The following is a 24,094-nucleotide window of genomic DNA, read 5'->3' as shown; positions in this document are numbered from 1 at the left end:
TGCTGTCTCTAATATACCCATCCCCTTGAGAGTTTGGTGTTGAATACTTCCTTGGTAATGGAAAGGCACGCCAACTATGCCCACTACTTGTATCGACACATACTCTTTATCTTTTTATAAAAAAAAAAAAAAAAAAAATACTATATTGTTTCCCCTATCTAAATGATGGTCACAGAATCTGTTTTTTTTTTTTTTAAGCAAGTGGAGTAAATAATAAATTTTAGGAAAATCATTACCCACTTCACTCATTCATTCAATTCTTATTGATCACTAAGTACCATGAAGTATTTTTGGTAATGGGAACTCTGTGATAAGCAAGTAAAGAGGGGGAACAAGAATGATGACCTTGGAGAGCTCAAGCAGTGAGGGAGGCAGGTAACATATGAGTATCAAGTAGGTTGTTAAGTGATGAAAAAAAAGAGAGAAAGAAAACAAAAAATATTGTGATAAGAGTATGAGAGTATAATGTTGGGAGACCCATTAGATAAGTGGGCTCTCCTGGGATATCCCCCTGATATGGTGACCACTGAGCTCAATCTGGAACAAATGAGAAAGCAGCAGCCATGGTAAAATGTGGAGAAAGTACTTTCCAGCAGAGTTCCACGAATCAGAAGAGGACAACAACCTGTGTTTACTAAACAAATATGAAAAAATAGGCCACAGTGACTGAGACACAGTTTGGAAGGGAGATGAATGAGGAGATACTGGAGAGTAGGTTAGGGAAGATAATGCAGAGCCAGGTAGATCAGGGTATGCTCTTTGGTTTCGGCAGGAACAGCTCCTGCCGTCCCACTGATGTAAACTTTCTTGTCAGGGAACTTGTGCAGTGGATCTAGAGCGAACAGGGGAGCAGCAATGTCAGTTGAGCTCATTGATTTAGGCAATTTTTTAATCATATAACATAAATATTGTCTTCAATTGGGATTTTAAGAATAAATACATTCTTCCATAAGAAAATCTTTTGGTGGTAACTGCTGGGCCCGGTGGCTCACGCCTGTAATCCCAGCACTTTGGGAGGCCGAGGGGGGTGGAAAACAAGGTCAAGAGATTGAGAACATCCTAGCTAACACGGTGAAACCCCGTCTCTACTAAAAATACAAAAAATTAGCCGGGCATGGTGGCGGGCGCCTGTAGTCCCAGCTACTCAGGAGGCTAAGGCAGGAAAATCGCTTGAACCCAGGAGGTGGAGGTTGCAGTGAGCCGAGATTGTGCCACTGTACTCCAGCCTGGGCGACTCCATCTCAAAAAAAAAAAAAAAAAAGGAATGTAGTGAGTTAGGCATGGCAAAATCACATAGAGTGGACGTGGATTGTGTGTTCTCTTCCCATTTAGACTACTTATGTATTCTGATTAGGGTCTTCAAGTGGAGTGTCCTACAGCATGTATCACCATGGTTCTTTCTTCTATCCTATTGGACTCATACAATGGCAAGTGGCAGTAAGAGAGCAGAGAAGGGGCAGGAAGAATTTGGGGCTATTTTTCCCTTTCTTTTCTCTTCTTTAGTGCTATAGATCTGTCACTGGCTTCATCCTTTTAGAACCACAGCTCCTATCTGGAAGACTGCCTTCTCAGTGTCCAGCTTTCATCCAGTTCCTGTGACACCATATCCCCTGCCCTTGTCCTTCTGGCCTGGGGTAATAACAGCTACTTTTTGTTGTTTGTAGTGGTGCTATTCAAAAGCATCAAATATTAAGCATCTGTATGTCTCAATATACCATTTGCTTCTCAGCTTTGTTATATTTCTCACTATCTGAAATTTTGTTCATTCTTTTTACATCCTGAGTAATTATCTACATCTCCCCCCAAAAAATAGATTTCCATTAGAATCTGGATCTTGTCTCTTCTTGTTATATTGCCAACTGGAACAGTACCTGGAACATAGTAGGAGCTCAGAAATTATCATAGAATGATAAAAGATGACTAAACAAGAAATTTAAAAAATGGCACAAATCACCTTAAAACATGTTTATCAAAAATTATCTCTGTTTAATAGGAGATAGATACATATATATTTTCAACTACATTAATGGGCGGTAGATGTATAAGTTATCTTCATGCCATGGTAAAGATACTTAAAGAAATTAAGAAGCTTTGCCCAATTTTCACATAGTAGAAGGGAGTGTGGCTTAAATTCAAGTCTACTTGGTCTAACTAGTATTCTTTTGATGACAGAGGTATGTCTGGGCTGGATGGGTCAATACTCTATAAATGTTATCAAGTCACTATACTTGGCAGGTGTCCCAATTTACACTCCAATTTACAGAATTTTGGATATATTATTTAGATTCTAATGGATTAGTTGTTGATAGAGTCTTGATTATAATGTCTATATAATAAATGTCCTACAAAAGTTTCTTTGATTATTACTCACAAAAATCACACAATTAAAGCATAGTGAATATTGAGGTTGCAACAATTTGATGCTTTTGAATAGCACCACCACAAAAATGCTCTCATAATAAAATAGAATTTATGTAAAGTAACTCACAGACCATTTGGCTATATTTGACTCCTTAATTTATTCCAAAGGCATCTATTGCCTCAGGGAGAGAGGATATTTGTATAGAGGAAAAGTAATAACCTCGAGAAGAACAAACAACAGGAGAAATCTCATTTATGGCTGAAGATAACGAACAGATGCTATAACCCCAACCATCTAAGACAGAGAGATTTAAGGTAGGAAAAGAAATGTAATTGATCAAGGGTAAATAACACTGCATATCCAAGAGACAGCAATGAGATGCACATATTTGAAAAGAATATAAGAAAGCTTATGGATGCAAAGGTCTCTAATACAGGAGATGTTGCTATTTGAAGGGTGTGGTGAGACCTATTACTCGACATTATTAAAGAGAGCATGAGTCACTTATTCTTGAAAGGTTTTAATAGAAAAGGAAAAAAACAATAGTTTAAAGTATAAAAGGGACATTTTCTAAAATGTAATAAATATGTGATAAGATATGTATATTTAAAAAGCAATTCAGTCCCTCAGACCAAGATTTGTATCTTCAAAGGGTGCCAGAAAAGTGACACATGGAAAAACGAAGATCATACCTGTGACGTGTATACAATGGCACACAGTAGAGGTTTACTTAGATACTTGGGTTTAAGGAGTGTAATGGCATGGATAAAAGGAAGGATATAATAAAATGCATAAAGGAAATGGCATAATGAGATGCTTAATTGGACAAATGTAACGATATGCAAAGGAGAAGAAAGATGTAATATGATACACATTTTTGAGGAGTGTAATGAGATGCATAAATAGAAAGGTGTAATGAGATGTGCATGTTTAAGTAACGTAATGAGAAATATAGGTTATAATAACATACATGAAAGTAGTTTAGTAATGAGATATACAAGGGAAAGGCTTTAATGAAATCCACAAATGGAGAATATGTAAAGATGCTTAAAGGAAATGTAATGAGATGTACATATTTGAAAGTTTTAATGAGATGCTTTAATAGAAGTGTGTAATGAAATGTATATGTTTGAAAGGTGTAATGAGACACATTATCAAGGAAGAATATAAAACAATTCTCTCCTTCTATGGAGAATAATGCTTCCTGAACATCGTGAAGAGTCATCATCCTAAGGGATTTCTACATTTCCACTTTAGTATAAAGTAAGACACCATCGGTGCTTCAACTATTACCACATCAAGTGGCATCTCCTTCAGGTCCTGGTTTATTTTTAGCAATATGGTTTAAAACATAACCCCATGCTGATGGCCACTTTCTAGGACAATTTAGGAATGGTGCTGATTATTAGACATTAACACAAGGGGAAAAAAAAGAAGAAGGAAAAGAAGAAACTGACAGCTATTGAGTATTTGGTGCTGGAGCTGTGCTAGAAATCTTTACATAACTGAATATTCCAATAACCACATAAGGCAGACATTATCTCCTTTTGACAACTTAGAAAAGTGAGCTCAGAGGTTAAGCTGGTTGCTCAAAATCACATGACCTGGGTAAGTGTTGGAGCCAGAATTTGAAAATAAGTCTGCCTGGTTCTATTTCTATTTGTGTTTTTATTATTTTTTTTCTCTTATTCTTTTTTTTTCTTTTTTCTGTTTGGTAATATTTTGCTGGGTAATTACTGCTAATTATGGTTGAAATCTCTAACGAGGCCTTATTAACACCTCCAGTCATAAATGTCACATGTTTACATAGCTAATAGTTTTGCCGAGAGAGTAAGGGATAACAGAGTAACCACCCTGTTACTAGAGACATTTGAAAAATTATTAACCCCATATATGTTTTCCGAACAATTTTGTACCCTGTTGGGCTCCATACAATAACCAGTGGATGACGTATTAAATAGGAACCTTGAAGATATTACCAGGTTTTAAAAAATTAGGCCAATAATTTTTAAAAGTTATTTTGAAATGTATTTTGGCTACACTGTGATTTTGCTGGTGAATGAATATGAAGCAAAGCAGATAAAACTATCTTCACTACCCCTTTTAAAATCTACATGAATTTGGCTAAGTTTTGTAACCTCTCATGAGATTTAGCTTCCTTATCTATGAAACAGGAATAAATAACGTGTCTTATCAAATTTTATTATAGCAAAATAAAATATGCAAAATATCTAGAACATTCCATATTAGCAATGAATAAATATTAATTTCTTCCTTCCCAACTTTTTAAATCAAGTTTGAATGAGTAATTATGTAAAAATTCTCCTCTCCCTTAAAATTTCTTTACATTTAGTTGGTGGTAGTTTATGTCAATAGACTTACTCGGGAAAAAAAAAACTAGAAAATGTTATAAGGCATGTTTTCTATAACGGTTGTAGGCAATAATTTATTTTTGGATTAATTGCTTACAGAATGACAAAGACATTAATTGGAAGAGAGAATAATTTTTTATAAAATATGAGTACAACAATTATTTCCACTTTTATTGACAGAATTCAAATTAAACTAAGGACAACGTAAATTTGTGACCCTTCACCCTCGCACTAATAACTTTTCACAACCTTAATCAATCAGTGTAATATAGTAATTATCATTTCAACCACACTCCCATTGGAGTCCATGATTATTTTAGGATAGCTACTTATTGTTCAATTATGTGTCTATGAAAACAGGTCAAACGTTGGTCACTTTTACTCATTAAAATTTTGAAGTTTTATTCTGAATATTTTCTACGCAATGGAGGATCTCATTAGCAATTAATTGTGAAAAAGTCATTCACCATACAATGAAAAGCTCACTAGCTCAGATCTAAGTACTGAATCTAAGTGTATATTTTAGATCAACACACATGTCCTATTTAAGTACACCAAAACAATAACAGTTGTTTTACCTGGGCCAGCACACAGATGAACAAAGACTTATTTCAAAACTTTCATGGAGGCCTCTTTTTATGAATTTGTAAAACCAACAAAACTAATCCCTATTCACCTTCCAAAAGGGTGGCCAAGTAACTCAGAAAGTAGATAATGGATTTTATTTTTCATTCACCAGCATATGATTATTTGAAGGTTACTTCCATTTCTCAGGAGACAGAGGAGTTCAGTGATTAAGTGTGTAGGCTCTGAAGTTAAGCTGCTTTGGTTCATATCTTATCCATGCTATTTGCTAGATGTACAACCCTGGGCACATTTCTTAGTCACTCTAAGCCTCATTTTCCTGTTGGCTACTTCAAATGTTTGCTATGAGGATTAAGTAAGACAACACATGAACAGCCTCGGGCACATAATAAACTCAGAGCTCTGGTTAGAGTATGTCCATTTCATAGGGGCAGTGTAATAAGAAATAGTTTTGGATCTTCTACAACTCTATTACTGCCATAAGTTAGGACTCGCTTGAGAGTAGGTTATATTTTGATTAATTTGATTCAGAGACCTGAGCTATATATTCTGTACCGTTTGTGAAATAAGACTAAGCGTTTACCACAAAATTAATTTATTCCATTGGAAGAAAAATACCTGAACTTTGGCTCCTAAAAGTAAAATATGTTGGTGACCACTAGGAGACCTAGAAAGCTGAGAGAAAGAAAGAAAAAAAGAAAGAGAGAAAGAAATTGAGAAAGCCAGGCAAACTAAAAGATTACAACTTTTCTTAAACCTAACAGAGAGTTGATATCTACCCACTACCCCAAAACATAAACAGAGATAAGCATCTGCAGAGAGATATGGGACATGAGTACCTGTTTCACTGGAATAGAAACAGCAGAATTCCGGTCATAAGAACTGAGTTAGAAATAATTAAGAAGTTGAAGGGGGCAACATATGGGCTAGCAAAAGCATGTGAAGCTCCAAGGGGGCCTATTATGGACTGATTTGTGTTTCCCTTCTGATTCATTTGTAGAACCCCTACCCTCTAATGTGATGATATTTGGAAATGGGACCTTTGGGAGGTAGTCAGGGTTTGATGATGTCAGGAGAGCAGGGCTCTGGTTCAATGGAATTGATGTCCATACGACAGAGAGAAAGACACCTGAGCACTCGCTCTCTGCACATGGCACAGTAGACAGGCCATGGGAGGACACAGTGAGAAGGTGGCTGTTGACAGGCCAGGAAAAGAGGCCTTGCCAGAATCCAATCCTGCTGACACCTTGATTTTAGATTACTAGCTCTGGAACTGTGAAAAATACATTTCCCTGCTTTGTAAGCCATCTGGTTTTTGGTATTTTATGGTAGTCTAAGTGGATAAATAGAAGGCTAAAGATGAAGGGGGAGTTTGAACTCTCTTGTAACTCTTTCTCCCCAAGGTCTTTCAATGAATACTCACAAAAATAATGAGAGAGAGGGTTGAGAAAGGATCCCTTCAAGGAACAGGACTGGGAGAGGGGAAGAACAGCCATTGGAGTAGGGTTCTCAGCTGGATCCTTCTGCCTTATCTGCAATATGGAACAAAAACCTTAATCTGTGGGAGAAAAGGTAAAAACATTATCATCTTAGGACACCTATAACAACATACTGCAATGTGAGAAAGAAAGGCAAAATTTTTCTACTCCTGAGGGAGAGGCAGGGGCAGAAATACGTGTTGAGCTTAGACACATCATTGAGAGAAAGGCAGGGATGCTGAAAAGGCCACATCCCTGAGTCCCAGGGGCACAGTGTTTGCCTAAAACTGAGACTAAATCAGAACAAAAGAGAACTTACTCTGCTATCCCCCCACAACCAGTCTACAAACACTGAATCACAGGTTACAGTGTAATACTTCTTGGAGAGATGCAAGAACATGGAGACAGACTCTCCACGTTGCAAGTGCAAATGTAAGACTTAAAACTGAGGTTACAACAGACATTGAGAAACACCCTCTGGCAAAGCTTCCACCCTACCATAAAGTATCATTAGAGTTTCTTGAAACCTGTGGTACAATGATGGTAACCATAGCAACAACAAACCTCAAACTCAACCCAATTTCAGCTCACAATGAATACATTCCTCACACTAAAGGCCCAACAGAAGGAAAGACATACCCATTATCAGAGATAAAAACTATTTATGTACTATCATTATCTACTGTCTTGTACAAGTTGTCTGGCATTCACTAAGAACAACAACAAAACTACAAGGCATAAGAATAGAAAAAGAAAAAAAAATGCACACACTGGAAAGAGACAAAGTAATCAACAGACCTGACAGAAGTATGGCACAAATATTGAAACTATCTCATAAAACATGTAAAATAACAAAAATTAAGTTAAAGGTTCTAATGGAAAAAAAGTGGACGACATGCAAAATTAAATGAGTAATTTCGGCCAATTTTAGTAGATTCAGAAATCATCAGGATGAGTTAAATAGAAATGCTCACAATGAAAAACACGATCACAGGATAAAGAATGCCTTAGGCCTCATCAGTAGATTCAAAACAGCCAAGTGCAAAAATCAGTGAACTTGAAGACAGGTAAACAAAAAATACTTAAACTGGAACACAAAGAGAAAAAGACAAAAGAGGAGGAGGAGTAGAAGGAGGAAGGAATAGAGCACCCAGAAGCTGTGAGACAATAACAAATAGTTTAAAATATGCTTTCTAGGAGTTGCATTAGGTAAAAAGAGAATAAGGCAGAAATATGTGAAGAACAATGGTTGACAATTTTCTAAAATGTGACAAATATTGAGCCACAGAATCAAAAACTCAGAGAACACAAAGAGGTATGACTTTTTAAAAGTATTATATTCATAATGCTGAACACAAATCTTATAGACAGATGGAGGAAAAGACATACAGAGAAAAAGAGTAATTACAGCTGACTTCTTATCAGAACCTAGGTAAGCCCGAAGACAATGGAATGACATTATTAAAGCACTGAAAGAAAGAAACTAAACTATCAAACCGGAATTATACACCGAGAAAAAATATATTCCAAAATTAAGGAGAAAATGAACCATTTTTTAAAATTTAATTTAGTTTTTTATTATACTTTAAGTTCTAGGGTACATGTCCACAATGTGCAGGTTTGTTACATATTATACATGTGCCATGTAATACCATTTGACCCAGCCATCCCATTACTGGGTATATACCCAAAGGATTATAAATCATGCTGCTATAAAATGAACCAATTTTTTGAAAGACAAATCTATCAAAATTTACACAAGGATAAATTAACAATCTGAATACTCCTATGTCTGCTGTAGGAATTGAATCAATAACTAATAACCCTCCAAAAAGGAAACACTGGGCTTAGATGGTTTACCTGGTAAATTCTACCAAGAATTTAATTTAGTAACAATACTAGTTCTTCAAGATATCTTACAGAAAATAGAAACAGAGGGGGTCTCCAAATTCTGTTTTAGGTTTGATGATTCATTAAGGAACTCATGGGACTCAACATGTGATCATACTCATGGTTATCGTTTATTACAATGAAAGTATACCAACTATAAGCATCAAAGAGAAAGGCTTATGAGTAAAGTCTAAGGGAAGTCAGGTGCAAGCTTCCACAAATCCTCTCCCAATTAATTCACAAGGAAGTGCTTAATTCAATCCATTAATGAATTATAACAACATGTGTAAAATGTTGCCAACAAGGAAAGTTCATTAGAGACTCTGTACCCAAATATTTTATTGGGGATTGACAATATTTAATAGTGAGAAATTGGACACCTTTCCCCTAAGACAAGAAACAGAGAAGTGTATACATATAAGAAAGGAAAAAGCAAAACTCCCTTTATTTGTAGATGATATAATTTTCTAGGTAGAAAATCCCAAAGAATTAGATAAAAGTTCCTGAATTTAATGAGAATATAGCAAAGTCACAAGATGTAAGGTTATTATATAAACGTCAGTTGCTTTTCTGTAGCCCAGCAGTGAAAAAATGAAATTTAAAATTAAAATTTTTAAAACTACCAATTAAAATAGCACCCCAAAATTAAATATTTAGATATAAACATAACAAATTATGTATAGAATCTGTGTGCAGAAAAATACCAAACACTGATGAAAGAAATTGAAGAAGAGTCAAATACAGTCATGTATAGTTTAACAATGGGGATATATTCTGAGAAATATGTTGTTAGGCAATTTTGTCATTGTGCAAATATCATGGAGTACACTTACACAAACCTATAAGGCACAGCCTACTACACACCTAGGCTATGTGGTGTAGCCTCTTGTTACTAAGCTACAAACCTGTACAGCGTGTTGTTGTACAGAATAACAAAGGCAGTTGTAACACAGCAGTAAGTACGTGTGTATCTAATATCTTAAACATAGAAAATGTACAGAAAAAATGTTATTATAATCATATGAGACTACTGTTGTTATGCAGTCTGTCACTGAAATGTCGTCATGTGGTGTGTGACGATTGGTGGAAAGATATTCCATGTTCATGAATTGGAAGATTCTATATTGTTGTCGTTCTTTCTAACTCGATCTATAGATTCAAAATAGTTCCAATGAAAAATTCCAGAAAGCTGATGTAAACATCAACAAACTGACTCTAAAGTATATATGGAAAGACAAAAGACAAAACAAATAAACAAAACAGTACAGAGAAAGAAAATAGTTGGAGCAATCACACTACTCAGTTTCAGGACTCACTATAATACTACAGTAACCAAGATAGAATGGTATTGAAAAAATAATAGATATATAGACAAATGAAAAAGAATAGGAGAAGCCAGAAATACACCCACACATCTACAGTCAACTAAACTTTGTCAGAGGTGCAAATGTATGTTGATAGAGAAAGGCTAGACTTTTAATAAATGGTGCTGAAACAATGAACCTAGTCCATATACCATTCACAAAAATTAACTCAAAATAGACCACAGATTCCAATGTAAATGCAAAACTTATAAGACTTCTGGCCAGGCGTGGTGGCTCACGCCTGTAATCCCAGAACTTTGGGAGGCCAAGATGGGTGGATCACCTGAGATTGGGAGTTCGAGACCAGCCTGGCCAACACGGAGAAACCCCATCTCTCCTAAAAACACAAAAATTAGCTGGGCATGGTGGCACATGCTTGTAATCCCAGCTACTAGGGAGGCTGAGGCAGGAGAATCGCTTGAACCCAGAAGGCAGAGGTTGTGAGCCAAGATTGCACCACTGCACTCCAGCCTGGGCGACAACAGCAAAACTCCATCTCAAAAACAAAACAAAACAAACTTATAACACTTCTAGAAGAAAACAGAGAAGAAAATTCTGTGATGCTGGATTTGGTGATAAGTTTCTAGATATAGCACCAAAAGCACAATCCATTTAAAAATGTTTTTTAAAATATTTTTATAGATGTATGGGGTATAAGGGAACTTTTGTTACATGAATATATTGCAGAGCGATGAAGCCTGGGCATTTAGTGTACCCATCTCCTGAACGGTGTACATTGTACTCATGAAGTAATTTCTCATTCCTCATCCCCCTTACCCTTCCAAGTCTCCAGTGTCTTATTATTCCACTTCCTAAGTCCGTTGGTATATAACTTAGCTCTCACTGACATGTGAAAACATGGGGAATTTCACTTTCTGTTGCTGAGTTATTTCACTTAAGTTAATGGCCTCTAGTTCCATTCACGTTGCTGCAAAAGACACAATTTCATTTATTTTTATGGCTGAGTAGTATTCCATGGTGTATGTGTGTGTGTGTGCATGTATCTATATCTACATATATACCACATTCCAAAATATACAAAGAATTTTTCTTTTTTGAGACAGAGTCTGGCTCTGTCACCAAGGCTGGAGTTCACTAGCATGACCTAGCTCACTGCAGCCTCAAGCTCCTGGCCTCAGCGATCTTCCCACCTCAGCTACTCAAGTAGCTAGGACTACAGGCATGTGACACCATACTCAGCTAATTAAAAAAAAAAAAAAATGTCAACTTAAAAAGTAAAAAACCAAATTAACCAAAATTTTTTTAAATGGGCAAAAGATCTGTATAGTTAACTCATCAAAGAAGATACTCTAAAGCCAAATAAATATGTGAGAATATGCTTAAAATAGTCATTTTATAATTCGAAATTACACATAAAAACGTTACCACCATACATACACTAGAATTGCTAAAATCCATAAATCTGAAATACCAATTGCCGTTGAGGATAAAAAAGAACAGGAACTCACATCCATTGTTGGTGGGATTGCAAACTGACTGTTACCACCACTGTGAAAAGCAGTTTTGTGGTTTCTGACAAAACTAAACATTATCTCACCACACAATCTAGCAATTATGTTTCTATATATTTACCTATCTAAAAATGTAGGTCTGCAAAAACAAACAAAAAACTGCACACAAATATTCACACAATTGCCAAAAACTGGGCATATGTGTCATACTTGTGCTATAAAATCTTATTCAGAGATGAAAAAGAATGATTTTTTCAAGCCAAGCAAAGACATTTATTAATCTTAAACACATATTGTTAAGCAAAATAAATCAGTCTGAAAAGGCTACACTAATTTAAAAAAATCACTGAGGTTATTGGGCAATCTCAGGATGAAATACAAATTATGAAAAAAATCTAACTTAATTACAAATACATAAAATAATGTAACTGAAGGGACTGGAGGAAGACAGTGCTGATCTAAGTAACTTTGAAAATGAATGCTGTCTGCAAAGTTAAAGGCATGAGGAATTGCACATAAGCACTGCACAGTAGTTCATCAAGTTGTTTCCTCAAGGGTATATGGACTAGTAATTCTGAAAACACTATACATATAGAGTAGAATTGACAAAACAAGTAAAAGGATGGTGGCTGATGAGAGCCAGGAGTCTCTTTTGTGGTGTTAGATAAGCAAAAGGAGGAAGTCTATATAATCTATACGGTAATGAATTAGAGTTGGAGATATTGATATAAATTCATATTTATCTTAATATATATGCATATGATTAAACATAAAAAGATTTATAGATATGTGTATATATACAGGTTGGTAACTCACATATACTTTCTTAATCTATCAGTTGAAAGGGCCCCAAGCAATGATACCTCACTAGCAACAAGCACACCTGACACACAGGTTTTTGTTTCTAATAAAATTATGCAGTAAAAGGAATCAACACTCTTTGTAGAAATTGGTGTTTCTAGGATTAAGACATATACACAATAGGCCAGGAATATCTTTTAGTACTGAAAATAAGGAAGTGCTTAAAATCTACAATGATGGGAATCTATCAAAAGGACACAGAAGATAACGAGAAGAGCTTCCAATGGCAATACTGGAACAATCTAAGTTGAAAACATAGTAATATTAGGCTATAAACCAAATATAAAATAAATGTCCTGCATCTAGAATGATATAAATAAACGATGGAATAAATAAATAGGTAAATAAATTAATAAAGGAGAATAGACAAATATCTCATGCAGATTTCCAAATAATATATGTAAATACATCCCCTTAAGAAGGACAGGTATAATTCTTTACTCCTGAAGTGTTGCATATAGAGACTTCCTTCCAAAGAATACGGAAAAGGAGCAAAAAAGAGTAACTTTAAAATGGAAAAACATGACAAACACTCCCTAAATTTAGTGATCAAGGTTAATATTGAGAGTAATAATATAGTTCATATTATGGCTTTTGATTTGAGGTGAGGCAGTTTGATATGAGAAATGCTAATTTATCTCTGTGACCCTGCTCCCCAAAACCAGTAACCTTAGTTTGGTCATGAGAAAAACATAAGACAGATCCTAACTGACATTCTACAAAATGAATTCAAGACTGTCTTCACAACTGTTTTATCTTCAAAATATCTGCAAAATTGTAAAGCTTTTCAAAAACAAAGTAAGTCTAAGAAATGGTAACAGATAAGAGAAGTCTAAGGTGATATGACAGTTAAATGTAATGTGGTATCCTAGATGGGATCCTGAGTCGGAAAATAACATCAGGTAAAAACTGAATATATCATGTTCTTCACGTGAGTATATAATCTACTTTAATAAGGTACAAATATTGGCTCATTAATGGTCAAAAATATACCATATTAATACAAGACATAAAAATAGGAGTAAATGGGTTTGGGGTTTATGGGAATTCTCTGTTATCACAATTTTTATGTAAATTTAAAACTATTCTAAAATTAGAAGTTTAAAACAAAGTTAGCTACACATAAAACACTAAAAATCATAGATGGCAAAAATTCTAGCAAATTAATTTGTTAAGACCAAATGTAAACGTAAAGTATAACATTCATAGCACAAAAAAATGAGTGGGAGGAATTAGAAGTATATGTTTTAAGTTCTGCTGCTGCACATGAAGTAGTATAATTTCATTTGAAGATAGGCTTGGATTTAAGAAGATCCTTGTTTTGAACACTAGGACAACCAGACATAAATACACACAAAAGTTAAAATGAGGAATAAATAGTAAGCGAGTAATGGAGTAAAATGAAATGATAGAAAAAATAAAAAAGCTCAAGTTACCCTCAAGGAAGGCAGAAGACAAAAAAAAAGAAGAAATGAACATAGGCACAAAACTCCTCAACCAAGTATTAATAAATCAAATTTAGTAACATATAAAATATACACACATATATATTCTAAAAATAATAATACAGTTTCAGTAAATGGGGTTTCACCTAATGCAAGGCTGGCTGAACATGTGAAAAGGAATTAATGCCATTCAACTTGTTTTTACAGAAAAGAAGAAAATACATGATTACCTCAAAAGACGCAGAAAAAGCATTTAGAAAAAATTAATATCCATTCCTAATATAAACTCTCAGCAACTTTAAATAGAAAGCAAATTCATTAACCCTGTAATGGATATATAAGGAGAAAAACAAACAAAAATAAAAACAAAACAGAGATAATATGATACTTCAAGACGAAATACTGAATGGTTTCCCCTAAGTTCAGGAACAAGATAAGGGAGTCTTCCTTCAGCACCCCTGTTAACATGTACTAGAAGTCCTAGGCAGTTCAATTAAACCAAAAAACAAAAATAAAATATATACAGATTAGAAAGCAAGAATCAAAATCATCTGTATTTACAGATCGTGATTAATGTCTACATAGAAAATTTCAGCCAGGCATGGTGGCTCATGCCTGTAATCCCAGTACTTTGGGAGGCTGAGACAGGCAGATCACCTGAGGTTAGGAGTTCGAGACCAGCCCAACCAACATGGAGAAACCCTGTCTCTACTAAAAATACAAAATTAGCCAGGCGTGGCAGTACATGCCTGTAATTACAGCTACTCGGGAGGCTGAGGCAGAAGAATAGCTTAAACATGGGAGGTGGAGGTTGCGGTGAGCCGAGATTGTGCCATTGCACTCCAGCCTGAGCAACAAGAGCAAAACTCTGTCTCAAGAAAAAAAAAAAAAAAAGAAAAGAAAAGAAAACAAAAGAAATTTCAACGAATTTACAAAAAAAAATTTACAACTAATAATTGAATTTTAGTAAGGGTATGGAATACAAAGTCAATATACAAAAATCAATTATAGGCCAGGCATGGTGGCTCACACCTATAATCCAGAGGCCAAGACGGGAGGATCACTTGAGGGCAGGAGTTCGAGACCAGCCTGGCTAACATGGTGAAACCCTGTCTCTACAAAACATACAAAAAAAAGTTAGCTGGGCATGGTGGCAGAGGCATGTAACTCGGGAGGCTGAGGCAGGAGAATCACTTGAACCCCGGAGGCAGAGGTTTCAGTGAACCAAGATCATGCCACTGAACTCCAACCTGGGTGACAGACGAGACTATGTCTCAAAAAAAAAAAAAAAAGAAAAAGAAAAGGAAAAATCAATTATATTACATAAACTAGCAATAATTATTTAAAACTTTAAAAATGTCATTTACAACAGCTCCAAAAAACAATTAAATACTGAGGTATAATCTAAAATATGTACAGCATTTGTGTACTAATACAAAGCGTCAATGAAACAATAGAAAATCTAAATAAATAGAGAGATGTACTATATTTACACACTGGGAGATTCATCATTGTTAAGATGACACTTCTCCACAAATAGGTGTAGGGATTTAATTCAATCTCCATAAAAGTCCTGCAGATATTCCATAGATATGAACAAGCTGATTCTATCATATGTTTAGAAAAACAAACTAGAAAAGTCAAAACAAAACTGAGAAAGCAGAAAAAAATGTTTGAAGAGAAATTAATGTTGTAGTTTCTCAAATTACCTCCACCAAAATATTTATCTATTACAAAGGGAAAGACAGTTGACCTTAGTGAGGAAAACCTAGCGGACATTGCTTTAACCAAGTTATCAAGATAATTTTACCTGTGATATGACATGTACTTCATGATCTGATTCTCTGAGATGAGCATATAACTTTTGTTTAATTCCTGAAAAATATATAACCTCAATCTAATCATGAGTAAGCATAAAACTAACCAAACTAAGGGATGTTCTGGAAAACAAGCAAAATCCTTAAAATTTTTCAAGATCATGAAGGACAAGAAAAGACTAAGAAATTGTCACATATTAGAGGAGACTAAGGAGACATGACAACTAAATCAATGTGACCTCTTGTTTGGATTTTGGAAGAGAAAAAGAACATTGATTAAAAACAAAAAACACAAAAACTTGGGAAACCTGAATAAAGTCTGAAGTTTAGTTAATAATGGTTATCAGTATTACCTTCTTAGTTTTGACAAAGGCTTCATAGTAATGTAAAATGTACACATTAGGGTCCTGTATATATCAGAAATAAACTTTTCTGGAAGTCTAAAATTATTTCAAAATATTAAGTTAAAAAATAAATTTAAAGTAAACATTACCAACTACACGTTATAATCACTTGGATAAAGAATAGCACAAAGCAGAAAACACACCGTTTTTCCATTTATATAAAATTATTACACTGACACAAAAATATTTTGAGAAAACATGAATGCATCAAATGTGTAACAGTTGAGTGAAATCTAAGATATTTTTAAGCGTTTTTCTAGATCCTTTTATTCACCACTAATTGGCCGGACATTGAAGAGACGGAGGAGTGGTAAAAATGTTCCAGGGATTTTACTGTAAACAGATAATGGCGATTCCCACCAATTAAAAATGGAAAAAGGGAGAGATTCCAAGATGGCTGAATAGGAACAGCTCCAGTCTGCAGCTCCCAGGTGAGCAACACAAAAGACGGGTGATTTCTGCATTTCCAACTGAGGTACTGGGTTCATCTCGCTGGAGCTTGTCGGACAGTGGGTGCAGCCCATGGAGCAGGGCGGGGCATTGTCTCACCTGGGAAGCACAAGGGGTCAGGGAATTCCCTTTCCTAGCAAAGGGAAGCCGTGACAGATGGTACCTGGAAAATAGGGACAATCCCACTGTAATACTGCACTCTTCCAATGGCCTTAGCAAAAGGCACACCAAGAGATTATATCCCATGCCTGGCTCAGAGGGTCCCACGCCCACAGAGCCTCACTCACTGCTAGCACAGCAGTGAGATCGAACTGCAAGGTGGCAGCAGGGCTGGGGGAGGGGCTTCGGCCACTGCTGAGGCTTGACTAGGTAAACAAAGCAGCGGGGAGCTTGAACTGGGTGGAGCCTACCGCAGCTCAAGGAGGCCTGCCTGCCTCTGTAGACTCCACCTCTGCGGGCAGGGCCTAGCAGAAAAGGCAGCAGAAACTTCTGCAGACTTAAACGTCCCAGTCTGACAGCTTTGAAGAGAGCAGTGCTTCTCCCAGCATGGAGTTTGAGATCTGAGAATGGTCAGACTGCCTCCTCAAGTTGGTCCCTGACCCCCGAGTAGCCTAACTGGGAGACACCTCCCAGTAGGGGCCTACTGACACCTCATACAGCCGAGTGCCCCTCGGAGATGAAGCTTCCAGAAGAAGAATCAGACAGCAACATTTGCCTTTCTGCAACATTTGCTGTTCTACAGCCTCTTCTGGTGATACCCAGGCAAACAGGGTCTGGAGTAGACCTCTAGCAAACTCCAACAGACCTGCAGCTGAGGGTCCTGACTGTTAGAAGGAAAACTAACAAACAGAAAGGACACCCATACCAAAACCCCATCTGTACATCACCATCAAAGACCAAAGGTAGATAAAACCACAAAGATGGGGAGAAACCAGAGCAGAAAAGCTGAAAATTCTAAAAATCAGAGTGCCACTTCTCCTCCAAAGGAATGCAGCTCCTATCAACAATGGAACAAAGCTGGATAGAGAATGACTCTGACGAGTTCAGAGAAGGCTTCAGACGACTGGTAATAACAAACCTGACAATTTTCGAACCCGTCGCAAAGAAGCTAAAAACCGTGAGAAAAGATTAGAGGAATGGCTAACTAGAATAACCAGTGTAGAGAAGTCCTTAAATGACTTGATGGAGCTGAAAACCAAGGCAAGAGAACTATGTGACGAATGCACAAGCTTCAGTAGCCAATTCGATCAACTGGAAGAAAGGATGTCAGTGATTGAAGATCAAATGAATGAAATGAAGCGAAAAGAGAAGTTCAGAGAAAAAAAGAGTAAAAAGGAACGAACAAAGCCTCCAAGAAATACGAGACTATGTGAAAAGACCAAACCTACACTGGTGTACCTGAAAGTGATGGGGAGAATGGAACCAAGTTGGAAAACACTCTGCAGGATATTATCCAGGAGAACTTCCCCAACCTAGCAAGGAAGGCCAACATTCAAATTCAGGAAATACAGAGAATGCCACAAAGATACTCCTCGAGAAGAGCAACTCCAAGACACATAATTGTCAGATTCGCCAAAGTTGAAATGAAGGAAAAAATGTTAAGGGCAGCCAGAGAGAAAGGTCGGGTTACCCACAAAGGGAAGCCCATCAGACTAACAGCTGATCTCTCGGCAGAAACTCTACAAGCCAGAAGAGAGTGGGGGCCAATATTCAGCATTCTTAAAGAAAAGAATTTTCAACCCAGAATTTCATATCCAGCCAAATAAAGCTCAATAAGTGAAGAAGAAATAAAATACTTTACAGAGAAGCAAATACTAAGAGATTTTGTCACCACCAGGCCTGCCTTACAAGAACTCCTGAAGGAAGCACTAAACATGGAAAGGAACAACCGGTATAAGCCACTAAAAAAACATGCCAAATTGTAAAGACCATCAATGCTAGGAAGAAACTGCATCCATTAACGAGCAAAATAACCAGCTAACATCATAATGAAAGGATCAAATTCACACATAACACTATTAACCGCAAATGTAAATGGGCTAAATGCTCCAATTAAAAGACACAGACTGGCAAATTGGATAAAGAATCAAGACTCACCAGTGTGCTGTATTCAGGAGGCCCATCTCACACGCAGAGACACACATAGGCTCAAAATAAAGGGATGGAAGAAGATCTACCAAGCAAATGGAAAACAAAAAAAAAAGCAGGCATTGCAATCCTAGTCTCTGATAAAACAGACTTTAAACCAACAAAGATCAAAAGAGACAAAGAAGGCCATTACATAATGGTAACGGGATCAATTCAACAAGAAGAGCTAACTATCCTAAATATATATGCACCCAATACAGGAGCACCCAGATTCATAAAGCAAGTCCGTAGAGACCTACAAAGAGACTTAGACTCCCACACAATAATAATGGGAGACTTTAACACCCCACTGTCAATATTAGACAGATCAACGAGACAGAACGTTAACAAGGATATCCAGGAATTGAACTCAGCTCTGCACCAAGCAGACCTAATAGACATCTACAGAACTCTCCACCCCAAATCAACAGAATATACATTCTTCTCAGCACCACATCACACTTATTCCAAAACTCACCATATAGTTGGAAGTGAAGCACTCCTTAGCAAATGTAAAAGAACAGAAATTATAACAAACTGTCTCTCAGACCACAGTGCAATCAAACTAGAACTCAGGATTAAGAAACTCACTCAAAACCGCTCAACTACATGGAAACTGAACAACCCGCTCCTGAATGACTACTGGGTACATAACAAAATGAAGGCAGAAATAAAGATGTTCTCTGAAACCAATGAGAACAAAGACACAACATATCAGAATCTCTGGGACACATTTAAAGCAGTGTGTAGAGGGAAATTTATAGCACTAAATGCCCACAAGAGAAAGCAGGAAAGATCTAAAATTGACACCCTAACATCACAATTAAAAGAACTAGAGAAGCAAGAGCAAACACATTCAAAAGCTAGCAGAAGGCAAGAAATAACTAAGATCAGAGCAGAACTGAAGGAGATAGAGACATAAAAAAAGGTTCAAAAAAATCAATGAATCCAGGAGCTGGTTTTTTGAAAAGATCAACAAAATTGATAGACCACTATCAAGACTAATAAAGAAGAAAAGAGAGAAGAATCAAATAGATGCAATAAAAAATGTTAAAGGGGATATCACCACTGATCCCACAGAAATACAAACTACCATCAGAGAATACTAGAAACACCTCTATGCAAATAAACTAGAAAATCTAGAAGAAGTGGATAAATTCCTCAACACATACACCCTCCCAAGACTAAACCAGGAAGAAGTTGAATCTCTTAATAGACCAATAACAGGTTCTGAAATTGAGGCAATAATCAATAGCCTACCAACCAAAAAAAGTCCAGGACCAGACGGATTCACAGCTGAATTCTAACAGACATACAAAGAGGAGCTGGTACCACTCCTTCTGAAACTATTGCAATCAACAGAAAGAGAAGGAATCCTCCCTAACTCATTTTATGAGGCCAGCATCATCCTGATACCAAAGCCTGGCAGAGACACAACAAAAAAAGAGAATTTTAGACCATTATCCCGGATGAACATCAATGCAAAAATCCTCAATAAAATACTGGCAAACCGAATCCAGCAGCACATCAAAAAGCTTGTCCACCATGATCAAGTTGGCTTTATCCCTGGGATGCAAGGCTGGTTCAATATATGCAAATCAATAAATGCAATCCAGCATATAAACAGAACCAAAGGCAAAAACCACATGATTATTTCAACAGATGTAGAAAAGGCCTTTGACAATATTCAACAGCCCTTCATGTTAAAAACTCTCAATAAACTAGGTATTGATGGACGTATCTCAAAATAGTAAGAGCTATTTATGACAAACCCACAGTCAATATCATACTGAATGGGCAAAAACTGGAAAGCGTTCCCTTTGAAAACTGGCACAAGACAGGGATGCCCTCTCTCACCACCCCTATTCAACATAGTGTTGGAAGTTCTGGCCAGGGCAATCAGGCAGGAGAAAGAAATAAAGGGCATTCAATTAGGAAAAGAGGAAGTCAAATTGTCCCTGTTTGCAGATGACATGACTATATTTAGAAAACCCCATCATCTCAGTCCAAAATCTCCTTAAGCTGATAAGCAACATCAGCAAAGTCTCAGGATACAAAATCAGTGTGCAAAATTCACAAACATTTTTATACACCAATAACAGACAAACAGAGAGCCAAATCATGAGTGAACTCCCATTCACAATTGCTTCAAAGAGAATAAAATACCTAAGAATCCAACTTACAAGGGACATGAAGGACCTCTTCAAGGAGAACTATAAACCACTGCTCAGTGAAATAAAAGAGGATACAAACAAATGGAATAACATTCCATGCTCATGGATAGGAAGAATCAATATTGTGAAAATGGCCATACTGCCCAAGATAATTTATAGATTCACCGCCATCCCCATCAAGCTACCAGTGACTTACTTCATGAAATTGGAGAAAACTACTTTAAAGTTCATATGGAACTAAAAAAGAGCCCACATTGCCAAGAGAATCCTAAGCCAAAAGAACAAAGCTGGAGGCATCACACTACCTGACTTCAAACTATACTACAAGGCTACAGTAACCAAAACAGCACGGTACTGGTACCAAAACAGAGATATAGACCAATGGAACAGAACAGAGCCCTTGGAAATAATACCACACATCTACAACCATCTGATCTTTGACAAACCTGACAAAAACAAGAAATGAGGGGCGACAGAGCGAGACTCCGTCTCAAAAAAAAAAAAAAAAAAAAAAAAAAAAAAAAAAAAAAAAAAAAAAAAAGGATTCTCTATTTAATAAATCATGCTGGGAAAACTGGCTAGCCATATGTAGAAAGCTGAAACTGGATCCCTTCCTTACACTTTATAAGAAAATTAATTCAAGATGGATTAAAGACTTACATGTTAGACCTAAAACCATAAAAACCCTAGAAGAAAACCTAGGCAATACCATTCAGGACATAGGCATGGGCAAGGATTTCATGAGTGAAACACCAAAAACAATGGCAATAAAAGCCAAAATTGACAAATGGGATCTAATTAAACTAAAGAGCTTCTGCACAGCAAAAGAAACTACCATCAGAGTGAAAAGGCAACCCACAGAATGGGAGAGAATTTTTACAATCTACTCATCTGACAAAGGACTAATATCCAGAATCTACAAAGAACTTAAACAAATTTACAAGAAAAAATCAAACAACCCCATCAACAAGTGGGCAAAGGATATGAACAGACACTTCTGAAAAGAAGACATTTATGCAGCCAACAGACACATGAAAAAATGCTCATCATCACTGGCCATCAGAGAAATGCAAATCAAAACAACAATGAGATACCATCTCACACCAGTTAGAATGGCAATCATTAAAAAGTCAGGAAACAACAGGTGCTGGAGAGGATGTGGAGAAACAGGAACACTTTTACACTGTTGATGGGACTGTAAACTAGCTCAACCATTGTGGAAGACAGTGTGGTGATTCCTTAAGGATCTAGAACTAGAAATACCATTTGATCCAGCCATCCCATTACTGGGCATGTACCCAAAGGATTATAAATCATGCTGCTATAAGGACACATGCACATGTACGTTTATTGTGGCAATATTCACAATAGCAAAGACTTGGAACCAACCCAAATGTCCATCAATGATAGACTGGATTAAGAAAATGTGGCACATATACACCATGGAATACTATGCAGCCATAAAAAGGATGAGTTCCTGTCCTTTGTAGGGACATGGATGAAGCTGGAAACCATCATTCCGAGCAAACTATCACAAGGACAGAAAACCAAACACTGCATGTTCTCACTCATAGGTAGGAATTGAACAACGAGAACACTTGGACACAGGGTGGGGAACATCACACACTGGGGCCTGTTGTGGGGTTGGGGGAGGAGGGATGGATAGCATTAAGAGAGCTACCTAATGTAAATGACGAGTTAATGGGTGCAGCACGCCAACATGGCACATGTATACATATGTAACAAACCTGCACGTTGTGCACATGTACCCTAGAACTTAAAGTATAATAAAAAAAAATGGAAAAAGGAAGACACTCATGAAAAGGACAACTTTAAGATGCAGGAAATATAATATCACCTGAAGAATATAGAAATGGAGATATAAAAATTTGCATTGATAATTTGTTCATTTCATCCAATTGTTGGGAGTGTATTTTCCCTTGTCTAACTTTGCTCCACCTTTGATTAGTTATGGATATTTTGAGGTTGTCACTTTGCTTCTTTGTATCTCCCCAGTTTGAAAAAACTCAGAATTGTGGGAATTCAACACGACAATTTCTGTAAGCACTTAACACAATTTTAGACGCTAATTAATCATCCCCTAATCAGGTCCACCTTTCCAGATATAAGTGAAAGAAACTCAACTCAAACAAAAGTAAGCAAAAAAAAAAAAAAAAAAAAAGAATTGATTTAATTAGATTAAAAGCTTAGAGAGTATAATTAACTTTAAACTCTGCTGAATGGAGATCTCAAACTGTGATTAGACTGCTTCTCCGTCTCCAGCTCTCTTTCTGTCTCCAAGTTCTGCTTGCCTCTGTGTTGGCTTCAGTAAGGGGACTTTCTCCACATGGTGGGAACATTGGTCTCTAGCAGCTTGTGATTGTTTTGCCTTTACAGCTTGAAATTTCTAAAGTATAAAAACACATTTTTTAAGCTTCTCTAAAGACATGGGAAATTCCAGTCAGCTTGGGACATGTGTCCATCCCTGAAACAATCCCAGCAGGCAGGGAGTTGGAGTAGTATAATTGATGCTATGCGAGTCACATGCCTTCTTATGGGTTAGGACCTCCGATTTCCTCTAGCCAAACCATATGGACAAAGCAAGATTCATAGAGTTGTGGCATCTTTAAGGAAAGAAAGTTTGATAAAACCCCAAATATATTCATTATAGTTATTTATATTTTTTTATCATGGCTTTGATGATCATTTTTGTTTCCTCTAAGAATTCATACCCTTGAGTTAAAGGTTGATTTTTATGATTTTTATGTTAGTACAAACTTCTTTCACTTGGTTCTCTGATCTCTCTCCTACTTAAATATTATAAAATGTGGATGAAGCTGGAAACCATCATTCTCAGCAAACTATCACAAGGACAAAAAACCAAACACCGCATGTTCCCACTCACAGGTGGGAATTTAACAATGAGAACACTTGAGCACAGGGAGGGGAACATCACACCCTGGGGCCTGTCATGGGGTGGGGGGAGGAGGGAGCGATACCATTAGGAGATATACCTAATGTAAATGACGAGTTAATGGGTGCAGCACACCAACATGGCACATGTATACATATGTAACAAACCTGCACATTGTGCACATGTACCCTAGAACTTAAAAGTATAGTAAAAAAAAAAAAAGAGAGGCAAACACAGATAAAATACCAACAGAGAATGTGCACTGTAATTTAAACAGTCAAAATAATTCATAGTATTTTTTAAACATTTAAAACATTCACATATACAACAGGCAACATAACTTAGGGAGACTATAAACTCTCAAGAACTTGAAATTCAA

The 24,094-nt window shown here is 36.5% G+C and overlaps 1 long non-coding RNA gene across 1 annotated transcript in view; it reads right to left on the bottom strand.

The window, feature by feature from the left end:
• Positions 1 to 1,255: 1,255 nt before the first annotated feature.
• Positions 1,256 to 24,094, bottom strand: part of LINC03000 (long intergenic non-protein coding RNA 3000) — a 765,030-nt gene continuing 742,191 nt past the window's right edge. Inside the window, exon 5 of the long non-coding RNA XR_001742489.2 lies at positions 1,256 to 6,851. This is a non-coding gene — a long non-coding RNA (long intergenic non-protein coding RNA 3000). The remainder of the gene's footprint in view (positions 6,852 to 24,094) is intronic.

The sequence above is a fragment of the Homo sapiens genome, chromosome 5 (assembly GCF_000001405.40).
Source record: "Homo sapiens chromosome 5, GRCh38.p14 Primary Assembly".
In the NCBI taxonomy this organism is placed as follows: Eukaryota; Metazoa; Chordata; class Mammalia; order Primates; family Hominidae; genus Homo; species Homo sapiens.
This window is presented reverse-complemented; position numbering and strand designations above follow the sequence as displayed.